Consider the following 23,933-nt stretch of genomic DNA (forward strand, 5'->3'; position numbering starts at 1 on the left):
GTTGGCCAGGCTGGTCTCGAACTCCTGACCTCGTGATCCACCCGCCTCGGCCTCCCAAAGTGCTGGAATTATAGATGTGAGCCACTACCCCCGGCCAATTTTACCATTTTTTACATATCTTTAATGTTACATTTTATTATTTGGTGTTAAGAGCATCCTATCTGAGGCATGACTTTTGCCCCTAAGCATGGCTTGATTGGATCAGGAGTAGACCCTCGACCCAAGCTGAGACAATCTGATTTTATCTCCCAGAAATTTGGAAATGAGACAGAGAAATACTGGACAATCTGTGGAGACTCGCTTGAACGAGAACTATGAAGCCAAAAGAGGTCGGATGGGCACCTTCCACCCTGTGCAAACAGAGAAAGCCACAGGAGCAAAAGCAGCACGTGTGCGGGAAGACGGAGCACCGAGACCAGGAGACCCCGAGGAAAGAGGAGGGCGGCAGAGTGGCTGCCTCTGTTCTGAGAAGGGTCTGACTCCTGCTTCCCTTCCTTTCAGAAGCCAAAATTCTTCACTCTCCTGCATTCCATGGTCCTTATAACACAGCCTACCTCTTTATTTAAACAGCTTGAGTGGAGTTTTTGGTACATTTTAACAAAAAGAGTAAAGCAAAAAATTGTTGTACTCACAACTTGAGATACAGAGGTGAACTAAATATTTTCCCTCCCAGGAACGAAGTCCTGTGAAGGGAAGACACAGCGGGAGAGGCTGCACACAGTGGCTCACGTCTGTAATCCCAGCACTTCGGGAGGCTGAGGTGGAAGGATCTCTTGAGCTCAGTTTGAGACCAGTCTAGCAACGCAGGGAGACCACATCTCTACACGTTTTTGTTTTTTGTTTTTTTTTAAATTAGCCAGGTGTGGTGGTGCATGCCAGCTCCTCCAAAGGCTGAGGTGGGAGGGTCGCTTGAGCCTGGGAAGTCAAGGCTGTATTGGGCCACGATTGCACCACTGCACTCCAGCCTGGGTGACAGAGTGAGACTCCGTCTCAGAAAAAAATAAATAAATAAATAATAATAATAATAATAATATGGCCGGATAACCTGCAAGATTATGTTACAGTTAACAGTATATACATTCCGGGGGTATGAGAAGAGAACTAGTTCATTCCCCCTGCATGCTCTGGTAAACAGAAAACACTAAAAAGGTCAGACACATTTTTTTCCAAAAAATAGTGCACCAAACTAGTTTTCCTTGTATGAGAACCAGACTCATGGATTTGTACCTAAGCATTCCTGATTCTGTATATCTGAGACTGGGTACGGGAATCTGTATTCTAAAAAATCTTCCTGGATTACTATGACGCCCAGCCGGGCTTGGAAGGCCTATAAACCATTGAGACAAAGGTGACAGGAAAATCAGAAAATATTAACAAATTGGAAGTAGCATTTGAGAGAGATCTGAAAGATGAGTAAGACCTGTCATATATAGAAAGAGGTTGGGAAATAACTTTTCAGGAAGAAAGAGCAAATTGCAAATTACCACACAAATAAAAGTTGCTTATGTTCACTATTATTTCCATTTTTGTTATGGTCACAAATATATACATGTCTGATTGCACCTACTTACACAGCTGGGAAGAAGATAGGGCTAACAATAGATTCAATCTACCTGCCTCTGTCAAACAGACATTATTAACATGCCCTGCGAAGTATCACAGAAGTTACTTGAATTTTTTTTTTTTTTTTTTTTTTTTTGAGACAGAGTCTCACTCTTGTTGCCCAGGCTGGAGTGCAATGGAGCAATATCGGCTCACCGCAACCCCCGCCTCCCAGGTTCAAGCAATTCTCCTTCCTCAGCCTCCCGACTAGCTAGGAGTACAGGCTTGTGTCACTACGCCCAGCTAATTTTGTATCTTTAGGAGAGATGGAGTTTCTCCATGTTGGTCAGGCTGGTCTCAAACTCCTGACCTCAGGTGATCCGCCCGCCTCGGCCTCCCAAAGTGCTGAGATTACAGGTGTGAGCCACTGCGCCCAGCCCCTAATTAAATCGAAATCTTGTTCCTGCCCTCAAGAAACTAACATCAACTGAGGAAAAAAAACTATGTGTGTGTGTGTGTGTGTGTGTATGTGAAGAGGGACAGAGAGAAAAGAGGAAGTAAAAATAAATAAATAATCTGATTACTAAAGAGTCAGCTACACCTGTAAATGCTTGGGGGATGGAGGATGGAGTGGGGTGCGGCATTATCAGAACTAGCTTAAGTTAATCATCTCCTCCTCCTCCTCTTCTTTTTCTTGAAATGGGGTCTAGGTCTCTGTTGTTGCTCAGACTGGACTCAAATTCCTGGGCTCAAATGATACTCCCTGCCTCAGCCTTCTAAATTGTTTGGAATACAGGTGTATACCACTGCACCAAGCTTGAAGAACTTTTAACATTTCTTGCAAAGCAAGTCTATTGAAGACAAATCTGATCAATTTTTGTTTGTCTGAGAAAGTCTTTATCTATGTTGATGATTCTTTTCTTGCAATGCTTTAAATATTTCACCCTGCTCTTTTCTTGCTTGCTTGGTTTCTAAAGAGAAATTCAATATAATTCTTATCCTTACTCTTCTATAAACAAGGTGTTTTTCCCCGCTAGTATCTTCCAAATAATTCTCTTTGCATTTGACATTCTTCAGTTTGAAAATCATATGCCTAAGCATAGGCTGTTATGTTTGTGTGTTCGTTTGTTTGCCATTATCCTGCTCAATGTTCTCTGAGCATTCCTGGATCTGTGGTTTGGTGTCCGGCATTAATCTTGGGATATTCTCAGTCACTATTTCTATACATATCTCCTCTGTTTCTTTCTCTCTTGCTTTTGTTTCTGATATCTCATTACACATACGTTGCATCTTCTGTTATGATCCCACAGTTCTTAGATTTTCTGTTCTGTTTTCTTAAGTCTTTCTCTTTGCTTTTCAGTTTCAAAGGTTTCCACTGGCATATTTTCCAGCTCACTGATTCTCTCCTCAGTTGTGTCCAGTCCACCAAAGAGCTCATCAAATGAGCCCATTCTTCATTTCTGTAACAGTATTTTCTTTCCAGCATTCCTTTTGATTCTTTCTTAGAATTTCCATCTCTCTGCTTACATTACTCATCACTTCTTGCATGTTGTCCATTTTTTCCCAATATTCCTTTAGCACACTGAGCACAGTAATTTCAAACTGCCAGTGTGATAGCTCAAACATCCCTGCCATATCTGAGTCTTATGCTGATGTTTTCTCTGTCTCTTCGAACTCTGTTTTTTGGCTTTTAGCTAGTGTGGGGTAAAGTAGGGTATTTCCCATCCTGCAGTGGGATAGGTTCTGGTTTAAACAAAAAACAATGTAATTAGGCTGTGGGAAAATAGTTTCTTTCAAGAATAAGCTTTTGTTAAGAAGAACAGAATCCTCTGGGAATGTTTCCAAATGGTTACCCTGCTGTACCTACGCCTTTTCACCCTGAGAACCTGGTGGGGCTTCTGGAGGTAAAACCCACGAAAGTATGGGGACTCCGCAAGGACTTATTCAAAAGTTTTACATTTCAAGTTAGTCTACATCTAGTTTTCAGCCATCACTCAATGGTCTTTTTAAAGATCCTAGAAGACTCTGACTCCAGGGGTAGTTTCTGGGTGGTTTCTGCCCAAAATAAACAGTGAATCTCTGTATCTACCTGTCTCTAGTTTTTAAGGTAGTGGCCTTATCCTATGACTTCAATTCTCTGACGGATCTGAGAAGAATTGTTGATTTTCAGTGTGTTGAGGGTTTTTTCTTGTTGTGAGGATGGAGAGCCAGCCCCCAAGCTCCTTACATGTCAGACCAGAAGGTAGAAGTCTCTGTCCATGACTCTGTTATTCCCTACCACTCATTCTCTTGCTTATTCTGGCCCAGTCTCTCCTTTCTGTTGCTAGAACACAGTGAGCACACATTTGCCATGAACCCTATTCCCTTGCCATCCCTGTCCCTGGAACACTTCCAGTAGGTGTTTGCATAGCTCACTTTTGCACTTTGATCAGGTTTCTGCTCAAATGTCACCATCATCAGACACGTGGTTCCTGACCACCATGGCAAGAATAGAGACCCTTGTCCCTCTCAACTAATTTACCCTACTCTTTTATTCTTCAGAGCACTCATCACTGTGTAACATGATATTGTGTTTAGATGCATTTACCTTGTTTATTACCTGTCTTTCCACCCTAGATTGTAACTCTAAAGATGTCAGAGGCATGTTCTGTATTGATCTCTGTGATGACGACCTCAGAGTCCAGAAACCAAAAGCAGCTTGGATCTCAGGCAAGGGGAGGCTGTGGTACGCATCAAGACAGCATACCTTCTGCAAGAGATTACTTGCAGAGAAAAATAAAAGAACATTTAAGGCCCCTGAGAAGAAACTGTAGTGAGACTCTTTGAGAAATTGAGACATTTAAAAATAGCCATGTGTATACAGGAATGGAAAAAAAGGATGCACACAAGACCAGGAGAGGCATATACCAAGAAAAGGCCTAAGAACTTAAGCCATCACATCCTGCTGATTAGTGAAGGTCTTCCCTTGCATGGAGGCAGCTTACAAAGACTTGAAGAGGTGGTTGTTTTTTCAAATGCCAAATTTTCAACATAATGTCACTAGGCATACAAAGAAACAGTAAAATATGCCCCATTCAAAGGAAAAAAAAAATCTCCATAAGATTTTCCGGAAGAAACATAGACTTAAAACTTACCTGAAAAGACTTTATAAAAACTGCCTTACATATGCTCAGAGAGCTAAAGAAAAACATAAGAAATAATAAAAAGTAATCATGAAAACAATATATGAATAAAATTAGACTATGAAAAAAGGGATGAAATAATAGAAAAAGAATAAGAAAACAACCAAAAACAAATTCTAGAGCTGAAAAATACATCAGATTTGAACAAGCAGAAAAAACAATCAGTGAACTTGAAGACATATCATTTGAAATTACTGAGTCTGAAGATTAAAGAAAGAAGAAATGGGAATAAAGCCTAAGGGACTTAAGAAACACCACAAAGTAGACCAATATATGCATTATGAGAGTTCCGGGAAAAGAAATAGAGAGAAAGGAAAAGAGTTTATTTGAATATGTAACTACTGGAAATGTTCCAAAGTTGAAGAAAGAAATGGACATATACATATAAGAAGCTCAATGAACTTTAAGTAGGATAAACCCAAGGATACCCACAGTGAGATACATTATAAAAAAATGTCAAAGACCAAAGAGAAATTGAGAATCTTGAAAGTAGCAAGAAACTAATTTATCATTTACAAAAGATTCTCAACAAGATCATCATTGAATTTCTCAGCAGAAATCTTGCCTCCCAGAAGGCGGTGGATTTTATACTTAATGTGCTAAAAGGAAAAAGCAAAAGCAAAATCAAACAAACAAACAAATCTGTCACCCAATAAATCCATATCCAGCAAAACTGTCTTTCAAAAATAAGAGAGAAGTTAAGACATCCCCATATAAACAAAAGCTGAGGGAATTCATTACCACTAGACCTGCACTTCAAGAAATATGAAAGAGAGTCCTTCAAGTTGAAACAAAAGAAAGCTGGAAAGTAATTTAAATTTGTATGAAAATATAAAGTTCTCTGGTAAATATAATATATGGACACCTACCAAAAAACCTGTATTATTGTCATTTTAGTTTATAACTCCAATTTTATTCTTTCATAGGATTTAAAATATAAAACTATACATAATAATAAATCTATGTTCATGGGTACACAATGTATAAACCAATAATTTGTGACATCAGTAACATATAGGGGGATCCAAGCTGTCCAGGAGTAGAGTTTTTGTATGTAATTTAAGTTGTTATCAATTTAAAATAGTTTTTCTAACCTTAGGATATTGTATATAAGCCCTATGTGCAAATCATGGGGATATAGCATAAAGAAAATACCTATAGAATATACACAAAATAGAATGAGAATTAATCAAAATGCAAGCCTACCAAAAACTAAAATAAACACAAACGAAGGCAGTAAAGGAGGAAATGAGGGACAAAAAAACTATAAAGTGTACAGAAAAAATATATAACAAAACAGCATAGTAAGTCAGTGATTACTTTATCAGTGATTACTTTAAATGTAAATGGATTAAACGGCACAATCTAAAAACACAGATTGGCAGAATGGATTAAAAAACAGCATCCAACTATATGCTGTGTCCAAGAGACCCAGTTTAGATTTAAATGCACACATAGTTCAAAAGTGAAAGGTTGAAAAAGTATTTGCTATACAAATAGTAAACAAAAGAGACCAGAGGTGGCTATGGGATAGCACACAAAATAGACTTTAAGTCAAAACTCTCACAAAAAACACATGATGTTATATAATAATAAAGAGGCCAATTTACCAACAAGATACAAAAAAATAAACATATATACTAAATAGCAGAACATCTGAATATATGAAACTAAGTTTGACAGAATTGAATAGAGAAATTGCTCTACAAGACCAGTAGGAGACATTAGCACTCCACTTTCAATAATAGATATAACAAACAGACATAAGATCAATAAGGAAATAAAGAGCTTGAACAACACTACAGACCAATTAGACGTAACAGAAATGTACAGAACACTCCACCCAGCAAAGGCAGAAAACACATTTTTCTCAAGTGGACATAAAACATTCTTCAGGATAGATCATATGTTAAGGCAAAATATAAGTATTAGTAAATTTAAAAAGACAGAAATCATACTAAGTATCTATTCTTATTAGAATGAAATAAAACTGGAAAACAACAGCATAAGGAAAACTGGAAAATCTACAAATATGTGTGAATTAACACATTCTCAAACAATCAATGAATAAAAAAACAATTTTTATAACAATCTTGTGACAAATGAAAATGAAGACACAACATACCAAAAGTTATAGGATGCAATAGAAGCAGTATTAGGATAGAAATTCATAGCACTAAACACTTACAACAAAAAAGAAAAAAAAACACTCAACAATCTAATTTTAAGCCTTAAGGAACTAAAAAAAAGAAGAACAAACTAAACACAAAACTAGCAGAAGAAAGAAAATAATAAATATTATAGGAGAGATAAACAAAATAGAGAATGGGAAAATAGAAAAAAATCAACAAAATAATGAGTTTTTTCCTTAAAATGATAACAAAATGGGCAAAACTTTAGCTAGATTGACTAAGAAAAAAATAAAATTCAAATAACTAAAATCACAAAAAGGTCATGGTATAACTAAATTTATAGAAATAAAATGGATTATAAAAGAGTACTGTGAACAAGTATGTGCCAACAAATTGGTTAACCTAGATAAAATGGCCAAATTTCTAGAAAGACAGAGTCTGTCAAGACTGAATCACAAAGAAATTGAAAATCTGAACCTCCCAAAAAAGAAAAGCCCATGACCAGATAGCATCACTGCTGAATTTTATCAAACATTTATAGGAGAATTAACAGTTTTCCTATGACTCTCCCAAAAAATTCAAGAGGAGAGAACACTTCCAAACTCACTCTATAAGCCAATATTATTTCGATAACAAAATCAGACGAAGACATTACCAAAACAACAACAACAACAACAAAACCAATACTAGTCTAATGTGCCTTGTAAATATTAATGCAAAAATCTTTCACAAAATGTCAGCAAAGTGAATTCAAAGCATATTAAAAGAATTATACTCATAACCAAGTGAGATTTATTTCTGCAATGCAAGGATGGTTCATCAATGAATATACCACATTAACCAGTTGAAGGAAAAAACAAAACAACACATGACCATCTGAATTGATACAGAAAATGCATTTGACAAAATGTAACACCCTTTAATAATAAAAAATACTCAATAAACTAGGAATAGAAAGAAATTACATAACCTTAATAAAGGTCATATGTAAAAATTCCACTACTAAAATGTACTCAACATACTAAATGAGAAAAGATGGAAAGTTTTTCTTCTAAGATTAGAACCAAGGCAGGAGTGTCTGCTTCTATCACTTCTACTCAATATAGCACTGGGCATTCTACCTGAAGCAATAAAGAAAAAGACGGGCTGGGTGCAGTGGCCCACACCTATAATCCCAGTACTATGGGATCCCAAAGCAGGCAGATAGCTTGAGCCCAGGAGTTTGAGACCAGTCTATAGAACATGGCAAAACTCTGTCTCTACAAAAAATACAAAAATTAGCCTGACGTGGTGGCCTGCAACTGTGGTCCCAGTTACTTGAGAGGATGAGGTGGGAGAATCACGTGAACCTGAAAGGTCGAGGCTACAGTGAGCCATGATTGTGTCACTACACTCCAGCCTGTGTGACAGGGTGAGACAGTGTGGCACCCTGTCTCAAAAAATAAAAATAAAGATGATAAAAGCATCAAAAAAGGAAAGGAAGAAGTAAAACTATCTCTGTTCACAGATGATATAATCTTATGTGTAGAAAACTCTGAAGATTCCATAAACATGCACAAAAATTAGAACTAATAAATTACATTGTAGAATACAAAAATCAACAAAAAAATCAATTGCATTTCTATAAACTAACAATAAACAATCTGAAAACATAAAAAAAATTTTATTTCCAATAGCATCAAGAAGAATAAAATACTTAGGAATAAATTTAACTAAGAAGGTGAAAGTCGTATGTACACTGAAACATCAAAACATTGTTGAAATAAAGAACACAAAAATAAGTGAAAAGACATGTTGTGTTTATGAATTGGTAGACTTAATATAGTTAATTCAATCCAAAGCAATCTACCCATGCCATTGAAATAGAAAAATCAATCCTAAAATTTATATGAAATCTCAAGAGACTGGAAATAGCCAAAACAATCTTGAAAAATATAAACAAAGTTAGTGGTCTGGAACTTCCTGGCTTCCAAAACATACTACAAAGTTACTGTAATCAAAATTGTGTGGTCCTGGCATAACAACAGACATACAGACCAATGGAATGAAATACAGAGCCCAGAAATAAGCCCTTGAATACATGCTCAAATTACTTTTAACAAGGATACCAAGACCATTCAGTGGGGAGAGGACAGTCTTTTCAACAAATGGTGTTGAAAAAACTGGATATTGACATACAAAAGAATGAAGTTGGACTCATATTACACCATATACAAAAAAAAAACCCTCAAAATGGATCACAGGCTTAAACATAAGAGCTAAAACTATTAAAAAAAATTTTAAGATAGGAAAAAAGCTTCATGAGATCGGATTTGTTGGTGCCTTCTTAGATCTGATACCAAAAGCACAGACGACAAAAGGAAAAAACAAGAAAAGATAAATTGGACTACAGTAAAACGTTAAAGCCTTCTTCATCAAAAGACACTATCAAAAGAGTAATAAGGCAATCCACAGAATGGGAGGGAATATTTGTGAGTCATATATCTGATAAGGGTCAATATCCAGAATATATAAAACTACAAACGTTGAAAAACAAAGAAACAATCCAGTTTAAAAATGGGCAATCAACTTGAATAGACATTTCTCCAAAGAAGGATATACAAATGGTCAATAAGCATATCAACATCACTAATCATTAGGGAAATGCAAATCAAAATCACAGTGAGATGCCACTTCTCAGCCATTAAAGTCACTATTAATGAAAATAATAGAAACAGAAAATAAGTGTTGGCAAGAAGGTGGTGAAGTTGGAACTCTTCTGTATTGCTGGTGAGAATATAAAATGACTCTACCACTATGAAAACTGCGTGGCGTTTCCTCAAAAAAATTAAACATACAATTACCATGCAATCCAGAATTGAAAGCTGGGATTCAAACAGATATTTGTACACCTAGGTTCATAGCAGCATTATTCACAAGAGTGAATGCAATCCAAGCATCAATCAAAGGATGAATGAATAAACAAACGTGGCCTATACATGCAATAGAACACAGCCTTAAGAAGGAAAGAAATTCTGACCCATGCTACAGCATGGATGAACCTTAAAGACAATATGTATAGATAACTTAAGTAAGCTAGTTACAAAAGGATGAATGCTATAAAATACCAATTATCTGAGGTACCTAGTGTGGTCAAAACATAGAGACAGAAAGAAAAGTAGTACAATAGAATAGTAATAATAGTAATAGAATAGTAGTTTCCAGAAGCTGGGGGGAGGGAAGAATGGGGAGTTATTGTTTAATGGATTCTGAGTTTCAGTTTGGGAAGAAGAAATAAGTTCTGGAGAGGGATGGTGGTGACAGTTGCACAGCAACGTGAATGTACTTAATGCCACCGAACTGTATATTTAAAATTGGTTTACATGATACATTCTACGTATTTTTACCACAATAAAAACAGGGGCATGGAGGAACTTTTTGGGGTAACAAAAATGTTTTGTACCTAGTGAGGTGGTGGCTACATGGGTAAATATATGCGTCCAAGTATACTGATGTGAACCCTAACAGGGTGCGTTTTACTTTAAGCAGATTTCGTTTCTCCCTCTTTTTATCCCTCTCTCTTCCTCCATCCCCCTTTCCCATTTTGTGGGCTCTATGTTCTGCCAACATAGTCACATATTCAACATACATGGATGCTCAGAGAGGAGAGTCTAGAATTAATTTAACTGTGTAATTCCCACACTGCCTAGAATAGTGCTGGTGGGTACCCAATAAATGCTGCATGGATAAATTGTGAATTCAGTTATATATATATTATATATATATATATATATATACAAATGCTGCATGGATAAATATATATATTTAACTTAATAGCAACTGTTTATTGTGCTCTTGCTGCAATGTAAAACTTTAATCTGAAATCTTTACAAACTTGGTATCATTTACTGCCTCCCATCAGCCCAGTGAAGTGGATATCTATTCCTTATTTTTTTTTAATCAGGAAATTGAGGCTTAGAAAAATTGAGTCACTTGTCCAACCACATACAGCCATTAAGTACCAGAGTTGGGATTCAAAATGAGCCTTTTGACTGTAAAGTCAGTGTTCTTAACCTCTTGATAGAGGTTATACTTTATCTTACATTTCACTAAGCACCCATTGACTCGCCCATCATAAAGCAGAGCATATAATCAAGGACATTCTATGAACTGTTTCCACTGCACAGGTACAGCGGGAGGCATGTTGCTGATAGGTATTCAGGGACCTCATAGTGAGATCTTGTGACAGAAGCAGCTGCATTTTAGGACCCAAGGAGATGGGTCCATGAATCCCTTCATCCTGAGATGGAATGTTTAGAGATGACTCACATTGGCTTTTCCAAACCCTGAAATTTGCAGGTATTCTTCCAGAATGTGCCAGCCTCTATTATGTGACCTTGATGAAGGGGAGAAAGCAGACATTCCTCCCTTGCAAATCGTTCAGAATCTCCTGCCTGTGGCTTCAATGATATTGTGCAATTGTCAAATCCTCCAATTATAACAAGCAGGCAGAGAAAGGACAAGTGAAACAGCAACTATTTAGGGAGATATTAGTATCTCAACTAGGGTTCAAATGCCAGGCCCTATGGTTGTAATTTCAGTGACTTGTGAATTATTCAACATGGATGAGAATATCTTCATTAGAAAAGGGAGATGTGTGTGTGTGCGTGTGTGTGAGAAAGAGAGAGAAGAAACAGAGAGAGAGACAGAGAGATAGAGATAAAGGAGAAACATTCATCTTTTCAGAAAACTTAGAGCACCTACTAAGCATTAGGTATTCTGTTGGACACTGAGAATGCAAGATAGATAGAAGATATTAATGCATTTAACAAAGGGCTTGGGAGAAGCAATAAAAATGACAATTGGAAGAGGAATATCTTTAGAGATGGCAGAGAAAAGCACACGGCGGTACAAATTTGAGTTCTGTAATTCCTCCCCCCTCTTACACAGGGTGCCTTACAGACAATATCTCAGTGTAAGCCCAGCCTCTCTAATAAACCCCTGACTCATTCAATTCCCTGGGTGTACAGATGGTGACTCCTTTTTTTCTCCATCACAGGAGGTTCCAAACAATGACCAGGAGGCAACAGTGGATAGTCAAGGTGGACCAATAACTGAGACACAGGCTATGTGCCTGAAAATAAATGGTTTAATTACACATAAGCAGGGTAGACAGGAGCAAGCGTCACTTGGCCTAGACCTCCCCTGCTGCCTGGATGTGAAGTGCTCTCCAAAAGATCCTTTGGGTAAATAGGCAGATGGTAAGCATTGGAAAGTCCTGGAACCACTAGGCCAGTCAGAGCGGGGTTAAGGGCAGGCCTCGACCCTCAGAGAAGAGATCCTGGCAGGACAAGGCAGGGTACCCAGTCACCCAGGGCCTGGGGTAGGTCCAGCGTGGATTAGCAATACAGGGACTAAGACCCATTGACAAGAGGGAGATTTACAGCTGTAAGGCAGGTAGGAACCGAGGTTCAGAACACGCTGGAACCTAGCAGCAAGTGAGAACTGACCCTTTGACTGTTCTCGCCTTGACTTAGAATGGGTGCTGGACATCAGGTTATGTGTGGTCCTGTGGCCTGGACAGGCAGAGAAGAGGCTCTCAAATCCCAGAAACTCAAAAGTAGGGCCCAGGCATTCTTATCTGCCAACTTTCTTTCTTTTCTCTACCTCTGACTATTCAGTAATTCCACTTGAGGTTTTTGTTGTTGCTGTTGCTGTTTTTCTCACAGGTACACACTGTCCCCTTCTTTAGCTCCTTTCTTTCCTTCCTTTCAACTTCTACTTCTGGAATATCTCTCTGCTACTCTCTCCTTTCATGAGTAATTCCATTATTGTCTTTTCTGTCCTTTATCTATCTTCCTTCCTTTGTTAATATTTATGAAAATTTCCTCATCCATCAGAGTAGTGACAAATGCATACAGGAATCAAATAATACAAAAGCGGCTGGGTGCAGAGGCTCACACCTGTAATCCTAGCACTTTGGGAGGCCGGGATGGGGGGAACACCTGTGGTAGGGAGTTCGAGACCAGCCTGACCAACATAGAGAAACCCCTTCTGTACTAAAAATACAAAATAACCCGGGCATGGTGATGCATGCCTATAATCCCAGCTACTCAGGAGGCTGAGGCAGGAGAATCGCTTGAACCCAGGAGGTGGAGGTTGCGGTGAGCCAAGATCGCACCATTGCACTCCAGCCTGGGTAACAAGAACAAAATTCCATCTCAGAAAAAAAAAAAAAAAGCTACATATTTTAAAATTAAATTTGGCTCAATAGAAACAATACAACAAACTCCAAAACTTCAGAGAGCATTCAGAAATATCTTTGAGAAAATGTTTCCATATTATCTTCTTCTAATTACGCCTACTTTTCTTCAGCATTGGCATTCACAATAAATAGAAAATTATCGTATTCTTTTTTCTCTCTTTTGCGTAATTACTTCTGCAACAACGTTGTTTTCTGTTATTCTTCATTGCTGGTGTATAGCATTTTGGGTAATTGTGAGTTGAATTGTCTTCTGTGGACTAGCCAGAAAACTTAACAACCACTGATAACATTCTTTATGATGATTATGCAGTGGAAACTTGATTAATTGAGATGCCATAAATCTTCAGATCCACTGAAAATGTTTAATATTCAAAACCAATTTCTAAAAATTGTATTGATCAGCACTTTCATGGGAAGCCAGGTCAAGACCTTCAGCATCTCTTTGATTTAAGTATTATGTATCTCCAGGGACCAGCAAGTCAAAGCGAGTCACATGGTTTTCTCTGGGGTATGAATGCATGGCAAGGCCTGCGCTCTCTGTGTTCACAGTCTTAAATTAAAATGTGAATACAAGGATGGGAGGGAGGATAATGGAGTGACGTATTTTAGGGTTTAAACAAAATTACTTCTCCTCCTTCTATACTTTGGTATCACTCATTTCTTCACAGGTCTCATTGTTGGGTTCTTACCAAGAAGTGACCGGCTCACGTTGTCTTAGGTTGCAGGCCCTTTGAGGTTCCATATGTGCTATGGGAGGTCAAGTAACGGGATAGTACAACATTTAGGGCAGGTTCAAAGCCATGAGCATCCATGATCCCCCTGGACAGTATGTTAGATCCTGGTGGGTGTCATGTTGCTCAGTGTTTGCAGCGTGCACCATTTCCAGCCTCAGAAGGTAGTAATAGATGGGCTTCACTTGAGTGCGGGTGAGGGGAGGGAAGCCCCCAAGAAGCAAGGAGACTCTAAAGATGGGACAGCAGACAGCTGCAGCCTTCAACTGAAATGCAGATTTCCTGACCTTCAGGAACAGAAAGGATGTGTTTGGTTTATTTCTGCTTGTGGCACTTGGAAGTTTTCTCTGTCCTCTACATCTGGGGAGGGGGACATACTATGAATTTGAAAAGAAGCATAAAGGTCTTCTAGGAGCAAATGCAGACTCTGACACATGATAACCATGTGACCAAAGGTAAGTGGTTTAACTTTTCTAAACCTGGACCCGTAGGCTGTTAATAGGGATTGTAATGGTCTGAAAATTACATGACATGTTAGGTAATTAATGTGGCATCTGACACATAGTAAACCATGTACAATAGGAGCTTTTGTTTGTTTCACTAGCATCGGCATGTCCCCGCCCCACAACCTCCCCTCACCCCTGGGCTCTTGCAGGTTTTGTTCAAGGCTCTGCAGTATTATCCTGTAGTGGCGCTAGGTACAGACAGTTCCTTTCTCTAAACTTCTCTACCGGGAAAGCCATACACAGATCTAGGCTAGGCAGTGCTGAGCAGCCTAGATATCACAGCTTCAATGTTCATTTCTTAAAAGAAAATACACCAGGTATAAAAAGCATCAAGTAGGTAGTGTCATTTATTGGGAGACAACAAGGGCCTGAGAACGGATCAAGATGAAAAGAGTGCACCCCTCCCCCAAACCCATTTCATGCAAACTTGAGCTCCAATTATACCTAACATGAGCAAGAGCGGCTTCATTCAGGGCAAACAATAAACAAACAGACCTGAAATAATTTGGTGCTGTCTTGTATATGTTAAAAAAAAGGAAGAAAGAAAATGAAGAAAAGTTAGCACTTGGTTTCTAACTTATTAGGCAATGCAAATTTCTGTCAGCCCTAAAGATATCTTGGACTGTAATTCCCTCTTCTCATCTCATGACTGAAGACAGCTTCCCGTTAATAATAAGTAATTTTAAAAGACCTCCCCTGGGAAGGTCAAATGAGACCTGCTTGACTCTTCCCCTCCACTGCATCTTGCTGCCGGATCCCATCAGATCCATAAAAACTGCCTGGCGGACCGGCTCCCCAGCTCCCTCAGAGCCAGCCACCTAGTGAGCACAGTGAGTGGGCCAAGGGCAGAGTCCTTTTTTAGAAACCAGAAGGAAAGGAAATGAGAAAGACAGACCTAAACCAAGCCCAAGGGCCAAATTTACTTAAAAAGGTTAAACAATTACCCAAAGGGCTTAGATAAGAGCTGCTGAGTTTTCCAGAAAGGTTCAGAAAGCCAGGGAACATATATTTCTAATGCTTTAAAACGTCTTCTCCCACAGCCTGCTTCAAACAGGGGGACAGAGAGAGAGAGAGAGAGTGTGTGTGTATGTGTGTCTGTGTGGTGTGTGGTGTGTGTGGTGTGTGTGTGTGGAGTGTGTGTGTGTCGTGTGTGTGTGGTGTGTGTGGCGTGTGTGGGGTGTGTGTGTGTGTGTGTGTGTGTGTGTGTGTGTGTGTGTGCTGGGGAGGCAGACACATTCCCACCAATCAGGGATGTCAGAGAGTGTCACGGACTCAAGCCAGCCTTGCTCTCCCAGGCCTGCCAGATCCGGCAGCCATGACCCAACCCAGGACATGCCAACATTCTTGCTGCCTCCCTGCATTGTGTATCTCCTTGGGCCCACAAGGCAAATCTCTGCAGAGACAGGTATGCTTTCCAAATGTGCTCCTCTACTGCTTCTAAAAAGCACTAGTACTACTGCTCTTCACTCTGCCACTCTGCTTGTTTTCTTGACCTCAGGGATAGTGAAGACTTTGCATAGTTTGGATCAGACTGCCATCATTGGTGGATTCAACTGTCCCCTCTGGCAAGTGATTTGAGTGGAATCCAAAAGTCCCTCAGGCCTCCAAGACCGCTAACCAACTGCTGTGCCTGAATATCCCAGGATCATATTTTGAAGACAATAAAATTGTTTAGATATAAGGGTTTCATTGCTGTAGAGGCAATAATACACTAGAAGTGGTTGTTTCCCATTAAGATGGATTAAAGCATTAAACCAATACTTATTTGTTGTAATCTTTAGTATCCACCACAGTATCTATAGTCAACACATAAAGCACAGCTCCTAAGCTCCAGGAGCCCCCAGACTAACCATAACCACACATGAAAAAATAACAGGTCCTAGTGTGGATCTGTTAGAACAGTGTTAGCAGCAAGAGTTACTGGAACTCTCATGAGGGCAATTCTTGACAAGCAGAAAGAATTCTGGGTGGAACTGTGAAAAAACAAATATACTTTAAAGCTGTGTATAAGTGTGGGGATAGAGGAAGAACGAGATGGAGCAGACAAAACTGAAAAAAATGTGTGAGTATTGTCAGTTGTTATTGAGGAGTTCAACTTAGTACCAGTAATAACTTGCACACATATGTTGCTTTATGGCTCACAGAACAACCCATATACTTCCTTTCCTCTGATAATGCAGACCAGTTATAATAGATATTGTTCCTGTATGTACACAATTCAACTGAAAGTGCTCAAGGCCGTGGAGTTAGTGAGAGGTAGAGTAAGAATCAACCCCAGGTGCCTAGGCCCCCAGACACAGAGCTTTCTAGGGCATTAACATTGCCCATGAGGTGCAGGCACCCATGGGGAAGATGCTTCCTTGGAAAGCAGGGACGCTGGATAAGCCTTGCTCAGAGGCTCTAGGGCCAGAAAGGGCTTTAGAGCAGTGTTCTCAATCCTGGCTCCACATTAGAAATACTGGAAAAGATGTTTTCAATGGCCACGTCCATCCCCAAACCCAGGAATTTTGACATCATCAATCTGGGAGACTGGAAATGGAATTTCTAAAAAGCATCCCAGATAACTCCAACCAGGTTAGTGCCACCACTGGAGAGGTCCTTTATGGACCTGTCCCTGCTTGAGTGTCTTTTAATGTCTTTGTCTTCCCAGACTAGGAGTAAAGTCTTTGCATTTACCCAGTTCTTATTCAGCTTGGACAACTGAAACACTGAAATGGAAAAATAATGCATTTGTTTTGAATAGTCTAATGGCTACTCAAAATCTTTTAATTTACATAAGAAGGAGCTGAAGGTAGGTGCAAAGTACAGAAACACACCCAGGCAAACAACAGAACTTTAGCTTTGGAAACTCTACTGCCCAGGTTGCTTTGGCAAAATCCCCACTGCTCAGATTATTCCTTGGCAGTAGTTAAACCTCAAATACTTGGTTTTGAATGGATTAGCTCAGAACTCCAAATGAAAATGCAGGGACATTTTAGAAAAGAGCCATTAAGCATAATCCCAGATCAGCAAGCCTGGATCAACAAAACTGATTATCCTGCTGTTGAAATAAAAAACACAAAACACCAAAACAAAAGCAAACCAGAAAGAAAATCCAGTATGTTGGTGGGAACTTTTCCCGTTGAGTGGAACAGTTACAACCACCACCTTGCCTCCATCTCACCGCAGCCCCTCAAAATGTTCATGTACACAGATGATGTGGACCCACAGAAGAACTCAAGCAAACTTTGAGGAGATTGAGGCCTGTGAAGAAAGCACAACTGGCCATCATCCATTCTGCTGAGATGGCTTAATAGACACCAGCTGACCACACTGAACATCCTGGGCTCCTTTCCTGATGTGGGCATTGATTCAGACACATGACTTCTGGATTCTTGTCATATCTAATCTAATGCAGAGCCACAGAACATTTTCAACCCAACAGCAGATAATTGTAATGAAGTGATTCTGGCCAAGAGGGCCCATTTGTAATAATGAATTCAAATCAGATTCATGGAAGCTATAATTCAACCATAGTGAAGAGCACCTTCATTTTCCATATCATCTCTCTTCCAAGAGGGCAAAATAACTCAATATTCAAATAATTATTTTTGCTTTTCAAGTAACCCTATGAAGTAGTTATGAGGAGGATAATATTGCCTCACTTACAGAAAACGAGTTTCATCCACGTTCAAAGCTTCAGTGTCTTCTTTGGCACAGCACTTCCTAATGTCCCTCAGAGCAATCAAAGACCTGTCACAACAAAACTGATATCCCAAAGGAGGAAAATCACTCTTCTCTGAGCTGTGCAGTTTTTCACTGGGAAAGTGAAAGGCAGGCCCAGGTTTCGTGACTCCTTTGCTTTTCCTAGTAGGTCTCTGGCCTCCTTATGGGACTTCATTCAAGATTTAGAAACAGATTCGAGATAGTTTGACCCAGGACAACCACATTAAAAGAGCTTTCGTGTGATGGGCATGGGTATCATTCAGTGTTTTTTGGTGCAATCTAAACATGTGATGCGCTTGGAACACTCAGTTCCCAGGTAATGAATCCCTAATGAATGTCTTTAAGGAGGCAAAAGAGTAAGAAACCACACTTAAGAATTACAGCTTATACAGCAAAAAACACCACCAAATAAAACATGGTATATTTATCTGGGGTTGAAGCCATGGGCTTCTAGAAACTGAAAACATGGACTCTCCCTCAGAGTACTGACAAATCAGTTGTTTGTTAAGATGGGAACAGAACTCTTCACCAATACAGCAAAAGAGTGAAAACAAAAGGAGAGAGATGGGGACACACAGAAATTTGCAGAAGATGTTTATTTTCTTTTAGGAAACACTGTGGTAGCAGTGAAATCAAAACCTTAAAAAATCAAGGAATAAGAAGACTTAAGTGATAAAGACAAAAAAGAAAGAAAATAATGAGTAATAGACGAAAGTATACATTATGGGAGCATCTGATAAAAATGAAGGAAGAAAATAATAAAAGAGAAGATGACATGAGCTAAGAGAATGAGGATTTAAAGAGATTAAAATGTAGATAACGTGCTGAATTTCCCTATTCTGGGGTAAATGTATAGAAGAGACGCAAAATCAACATGATACATGTGCTTACTTAAAAAAAAAAAATTACGCCATGCAATCAGATAACAGATAACAGTTATGCTAGAACATGTAAGTTGTTCTTTTTTTCTGCAAAGAACAAAAAGCAACTATTCAGCTTTTCTTTTTTTATTCCCATTCCCATTCCCAAGCCCAGCTGCTCAACATTAGAATTGAAGATCATGAAAACAGGCCAACAGCTAATAAAAAATTGGTAGATGGAAGCTGGCCCTCTGCTGGTGGAATAGTCTTACTGCATCTCAGAAAGCAGAAAGCTCAAGTTTTGAAGTTTCTGGTTTAATTTTGAGGGACAGGAAGAGGACAGAGGATTCTGGAAAATTCACGACTGAGATCCTATTCAATGCTAGACCTCTTTGCCCCCAGTGGCACATTAGATGGTAAAGAGGTGTGTGGCAGCATCAACATCCCTGAACACTGGTAATATTTACTGACATTTTCTTGGTTAACATGTATTATAACCCGTGTGCTGCTTATATCTTTAAGCCAACTAGCTCACTGCAAATGCGTATTGGGAAATGTTCCCTGATTCCTCATGGGACCTTCTTTGAAGCAATGAAGTAGGGATATTACATTCTAGTCTGGGGCAGGCTGAGTGGTACCCACATGGCCAGGAGGACTTTTCCTTCACATCTCCAGGAAGGGCCTCTCTATTCTCCTTTTTTCTCCATTTGCTTTGGGCTTCTGAGAAACAGCACACAGGATTCTGGGACCTGTTCTCTAACTAAAAAGAAGATCCAGCTAAGTATCACCCAAAGTGGCAGAATCCAATCTTCACCCTTGGGCTTAGAAAAAGAATTCTGGTGTCCCAGAGACAGGTCTTTCCTCCTCCAGGGAGAGGCTTGTCTAGATGCAGGAAAGGTTCCACCAGAAAAGCCAAGGGAGGAACAGGAAGAACCCCCACCGTCACACTGTCCTAGGGGAAGCCAGGCATTTTGGCTGCAGAATCTGGGTCAGGATGTTTTATTGTCACCATAACCATCAAAGTCATAGGCAGGGCAAATGCATTCGCCCTGTGTACATTGTGAGACATAGTTAAGCTGGGACGTCCCTGAATCTGTCTCCTAGGACCAGAACTGCCTCATTAAAGGGATAAAAGATGATATCTGCTGAGCTGGTGGAAAGTGGTGGCTGCATTTTTATTAAAGTATCTGCTGCAGCAAGTCCAGTCCCCAAAGGTTCATATTCCAAGATTCTCCACCTCTCTGCCTGGAGCATGCAAGTGATTCTCTGTAACTCATTAAGGTAAAACAAAAAGCTCTCCTATTGTGCTTTTCACACAGAAGTGATGTTGTTGCATAAAAGCTACATGTTTCCTTTCCTTGGACCCAGTCTGCAAAAATAAAACTGCTGTCATAATTTACAATAGGGACCCTAGGAGCACTACACCAGGTTTGGCACGAGTGCTGGGTCTTGAGGAGACTCATAACAGGCCGTGGGCTGACACTGGTAATTCCACAGCCTCACATTTGAGGTGCATCTCTGATAAGGGCTAGCCTGGTGGTCCTGAGGACGATCCTGCCTCATCATGTACCTTCTGGCCTGTGACAGCCATCCAAGGGGCTCAGGCTAGCCCCCCAGTGTTTCAAACCCATGCACTCATGTTCTCATCACGGTGCCCAAGCAGGAGAGAATCTAGCCTGTCGTGGCTTCAAAGAACCATGGAGTCCCACACGTGGACTTCAAGGTTCACGCATAAGATCCTGGACCAGCATAGCCGGAGCACAGGACAAACCTGTCCAGGGGCACGGCAGTCGGCACGGCAGCACGCAAGCGGGCGCCCCTCGGGCCTGCACAAGGCCCACTCGCGTTCCGGTCCCCCATGGAGCCTTCTGCCCCCTCTTCCCTCCTCTCCCCAGCGACCACAGCCCAGGGGCTCGGCCCCCGCGGAAGGACAGCTCCCTACCTGAGGGTGGCGCTCTCCCCCTGCCGGACCGTCACGTTGTCCATAGCTTTGGGGAAGGTGGCATCTCCGCTGCGCACGGGCACTCCTGTGGGTACAAGGAACAGCAGCCTGAGAGACACGACCACGAGGCACTTCCAGGGCAGGAACAGGTACCCACAGACCCCCATTCTCGACAGCCACAACTTCCCAGGACTCCGGCAGCCGCACAGTCCTGGTCCCCCGCCCCGCGCACCAGCGGGCTCGGGAAGCGGTGCGGGGAGGAGGGAAGGGGCAGAGTTCGCCAGGAGCAGGGGGAAGGAGAAGAGAGGAGTCCGGGCTCTCCGGAGTCTGAGAATTCTTCCTCAGATCCTGCCTCAGCTTTCCAGCCTAGCAGAACCAGATGCCCCCTCCTGCATCCAAAAAGAGCTTTCTTGACGCTCCCCTGGGGAGGAGGGAGGCGGCCAGGAGGGGAGAGGAAGAAGCAAGGTGCGGGGATGAAGGTCACAGATTGCGCTTTCTCTGCCTCTCTCTTCGAGACGCTACTTTAAGATTCAGTTGGGCACGTTCTGCAGAGCTCTGGCATCAAAAGTTTATAACCCAAAGAAGAAGGCAAGTGTCTCTGACATACAGGAGCTGTCATAAAAAGCTGCGGCTTCAAGGAGAGGAGGAAATGGTTTATTAGATCACACACATGGACAGATGTACGTGTCCCCCAGCCCCAGGTCTCGCATCTGGAACCCCAAGGCGGCAAAAAGTTCCAAGGCGGGGACGCGCAGCCGGCGCAGCCAGGGTCGTCCGGTCGGTGGCCGTCCTCTGCAGCCCGGTCGGCGACTCGCGGCCAGCCGGGGGAGCGCCGCCCGGCGCAGGCTCCGGGCGCACGGGGAGCTGGGCGGACGGCGGCCCCCGCCTCCTCCGGGGACGCGGCACGAGACGCGGGGACGCGCGGACGCCACGCTCAGCGGCCGCCCCCGGCCTCCGCGCCGCCTTCCTCCCGGGAGCAGCCCCGACGCGCGCGGGCCCGGACCGCCGGGGTTGTCATGGCAGCAGCTCCATCCCTGACCGCCACTTTCTCCCGGTGCCGCCTCGGAGCGAGCGGGCTGGCGGGCGGCGCGGACTGCGCGCTCATCCCGACGGGCGGGCGCCCACCTTAACCTCCGCCGCGCCCACCGGGCTGGGGATGCCTGCGGGGATGAGCCCGCACCGCGCCCACTTCGCTCCGTCCCGACACCCGCGCCAGCGGAGAGAACGCGGCGCCCCTCGCAGCGGCTTCCCCTACAGAGGGGCGGGGTGGGGGGAGCGGGGAGGGAGAGGGGAGGGCGGGAGAGGGAGTTCTGGGGAAAGCAGCAAACTGAAAACTGACACTGGCACCTTCCCTCGCCGATGCCAGCGCAGAAGTTGACAAACCCCGCCCTGGAGAGCTGAACTACCCTGCCCACGCCAGATGGGGCACCGGTGTGCGTGTCCATCGCGCTGCGAACGGCTCCCCGCCCAGCCAAGTCCAGCCCTGACGGCGCGCTGTCCTGGGCCCGCGCAGAGGTGGAGTGCACCCACCTCCGAGGACCCACCTCGGAAACGCCCGTGCCCCTCCACTGGACGCCTGTCCCCAAAGTGGCAAATCTCAATTTCTCCTTAAAACACAGCATGCAACATTGTCCCTGTCCTACACCTTATCGTGGTAAAAAGCAAGGGCTGGGAAAAACACACCAGATCCTAAAAAGTAGTAGGACTGATCCTCCTAAAACCCCTCACAGGAAGCGGCGCCGCAGTGGTGCTGGGAGGTGACTGGGGTGCTTTTGGAAGCCAGCCTCCCCCTTTCTTTGGTCTCGGATTTGTCTCTTTCTGCTCTAAACCCCAGAGCTCCGCTTCCCTTGGGCCCCTCGGGAGGCCCTCTCCGCTCCCCTGGCAGAAGCCTCCCCGTTGTATTCTAATTTAATGGTTGCTATGTGCATCTGCTCTACTGTATTTTCTCTCAGAGCCTTTTGTTAAATTAGACTGGGCTCTGCACAATTGGCAAAATGAAATTTAATTCAAAAATAAGCATTAAGCTCTTATCGTTTATTACTTTAGTTGCTGAAGGATACAAAGGCATACTACTTGCTTTCAGTTCTGAGAGAAGGAGCACAAATAAATACTGCCCCATTCCCCATTCTAAAAGGGTTAGCCCACATATATGTGTAGGTCTAAAATTTTTAATTAGAGCATCTTACCTAGAAGGGAGAATACTTATCACTAATTATATCAGCTATAGTGAAACATATATAGTCATATGCTGCTTATGGAGGGGGATACAATCTGAGAACTGTCTTTAGGAGATTTTGTCATTGTGTGACTATCCTAGTGTGTACTTCCATAAACCTAGATGACACAGCCTACTACACACCTAGGCTGTATGGTAGAGCCTATTGCTCCTTGGCTGCAAGCCTGTACAGCATGCTACTGTACTGAATACTACAGGCAATTGTAACACAATAGTAAGGATTTGTGTATCTAAACACAGAAAATGTGCAATAAAAATATGGTACAAAAGATTAAAAAATGGTACATCTGTACAGGACATTTGCCGCAGACGGAGCTTGCAGAACTGGAAGTTGCTCTGGGTGAGTCAGTGAGCGGGTGGGGAATGGAGGCCTAGGACATTACTGCACACCACCGTAGTCTTCATAAACACTATATAATTAGGCTACCCTAAATTTATCAAAACATATTTTTCTTTCTTCAATAATAACTTTAGCCTACTGTAACTTTTTAACTTTATACACTTTGAATTATTTTAACTTTTTGACTGTTGCATGATAACATTAGCTTAAAACACAAACACGTTGTACAGTTGTACAAAAATATATTCTTATATCCTTATTCTAAGCTTTTTTCCACTCTTTTTTGTTTGTTTGTTTTTGAGACGGAGTCTCGCTCTGTCACCCAGGCTGGAGTGCAGTGGCGCAATCTCGGCTCACTGCAAGCTCCACCTCCCGGGTTCACGCCATTCTCCTGCCTCAGCCTCCCAAGTAGCTGGGACTACAGGCGCCCACCACCATGCCCAGCTAACTTTTTGTATTTTTAGTAGAGACGGGGTTTCACCGTGTTAGTCAGGATGGTTTCGATCTCCTGAT

At 41.9% G+C, this 23,933-nt stretch overlaps 1 protein-coding gene across 8 annotated transcripts in view; it reads right to left on the reverse strand.

Moving 5' to 3' along the window:
* Window positions 1–23,933, reverse strand: part of OPCML (opioid binding protein/cell adhesion molecule like) — a 1,117,521-nt gene that overhangs the window by 507,101 nt on the left and 586,487 nt on the right. For 3 of the 8 annotated variants that reach the window (XM_006718846.4, NM_001012393.5, XM_047427032.1), the window contains exon 2: window positions 20,845–20,929. The exons of 1 other annotated variant lie outside the window; for it this stretch is intronic. In XM_006718846.4, coding sequence (XP_006718909.1) covers window positions 20,845–20,929 — 85 coding nt within the window. Of the gene's footprint in view, window positions 1–20,844; window positions 21,756–23,933 lie in introns of those variants that run through there. 4 more of the 8 variants (NM_001319106.2, NM_002545.5, NM_001319103.2 and 1 more) reach the window with 2 other exon arrangements.

This window comes from Homo sapiens, chromosome 11 (genome assembly GCF_000001405.40).
Source record: "Homo sapiens chromosome 11, GRCh38.p14 Primary Assembly".
Taxonomy (NCBI): Eukaryota; Metazoa; Chordata; class Mammalia; order Primates; family Hominidae; genus Homo; species Homo sapiens.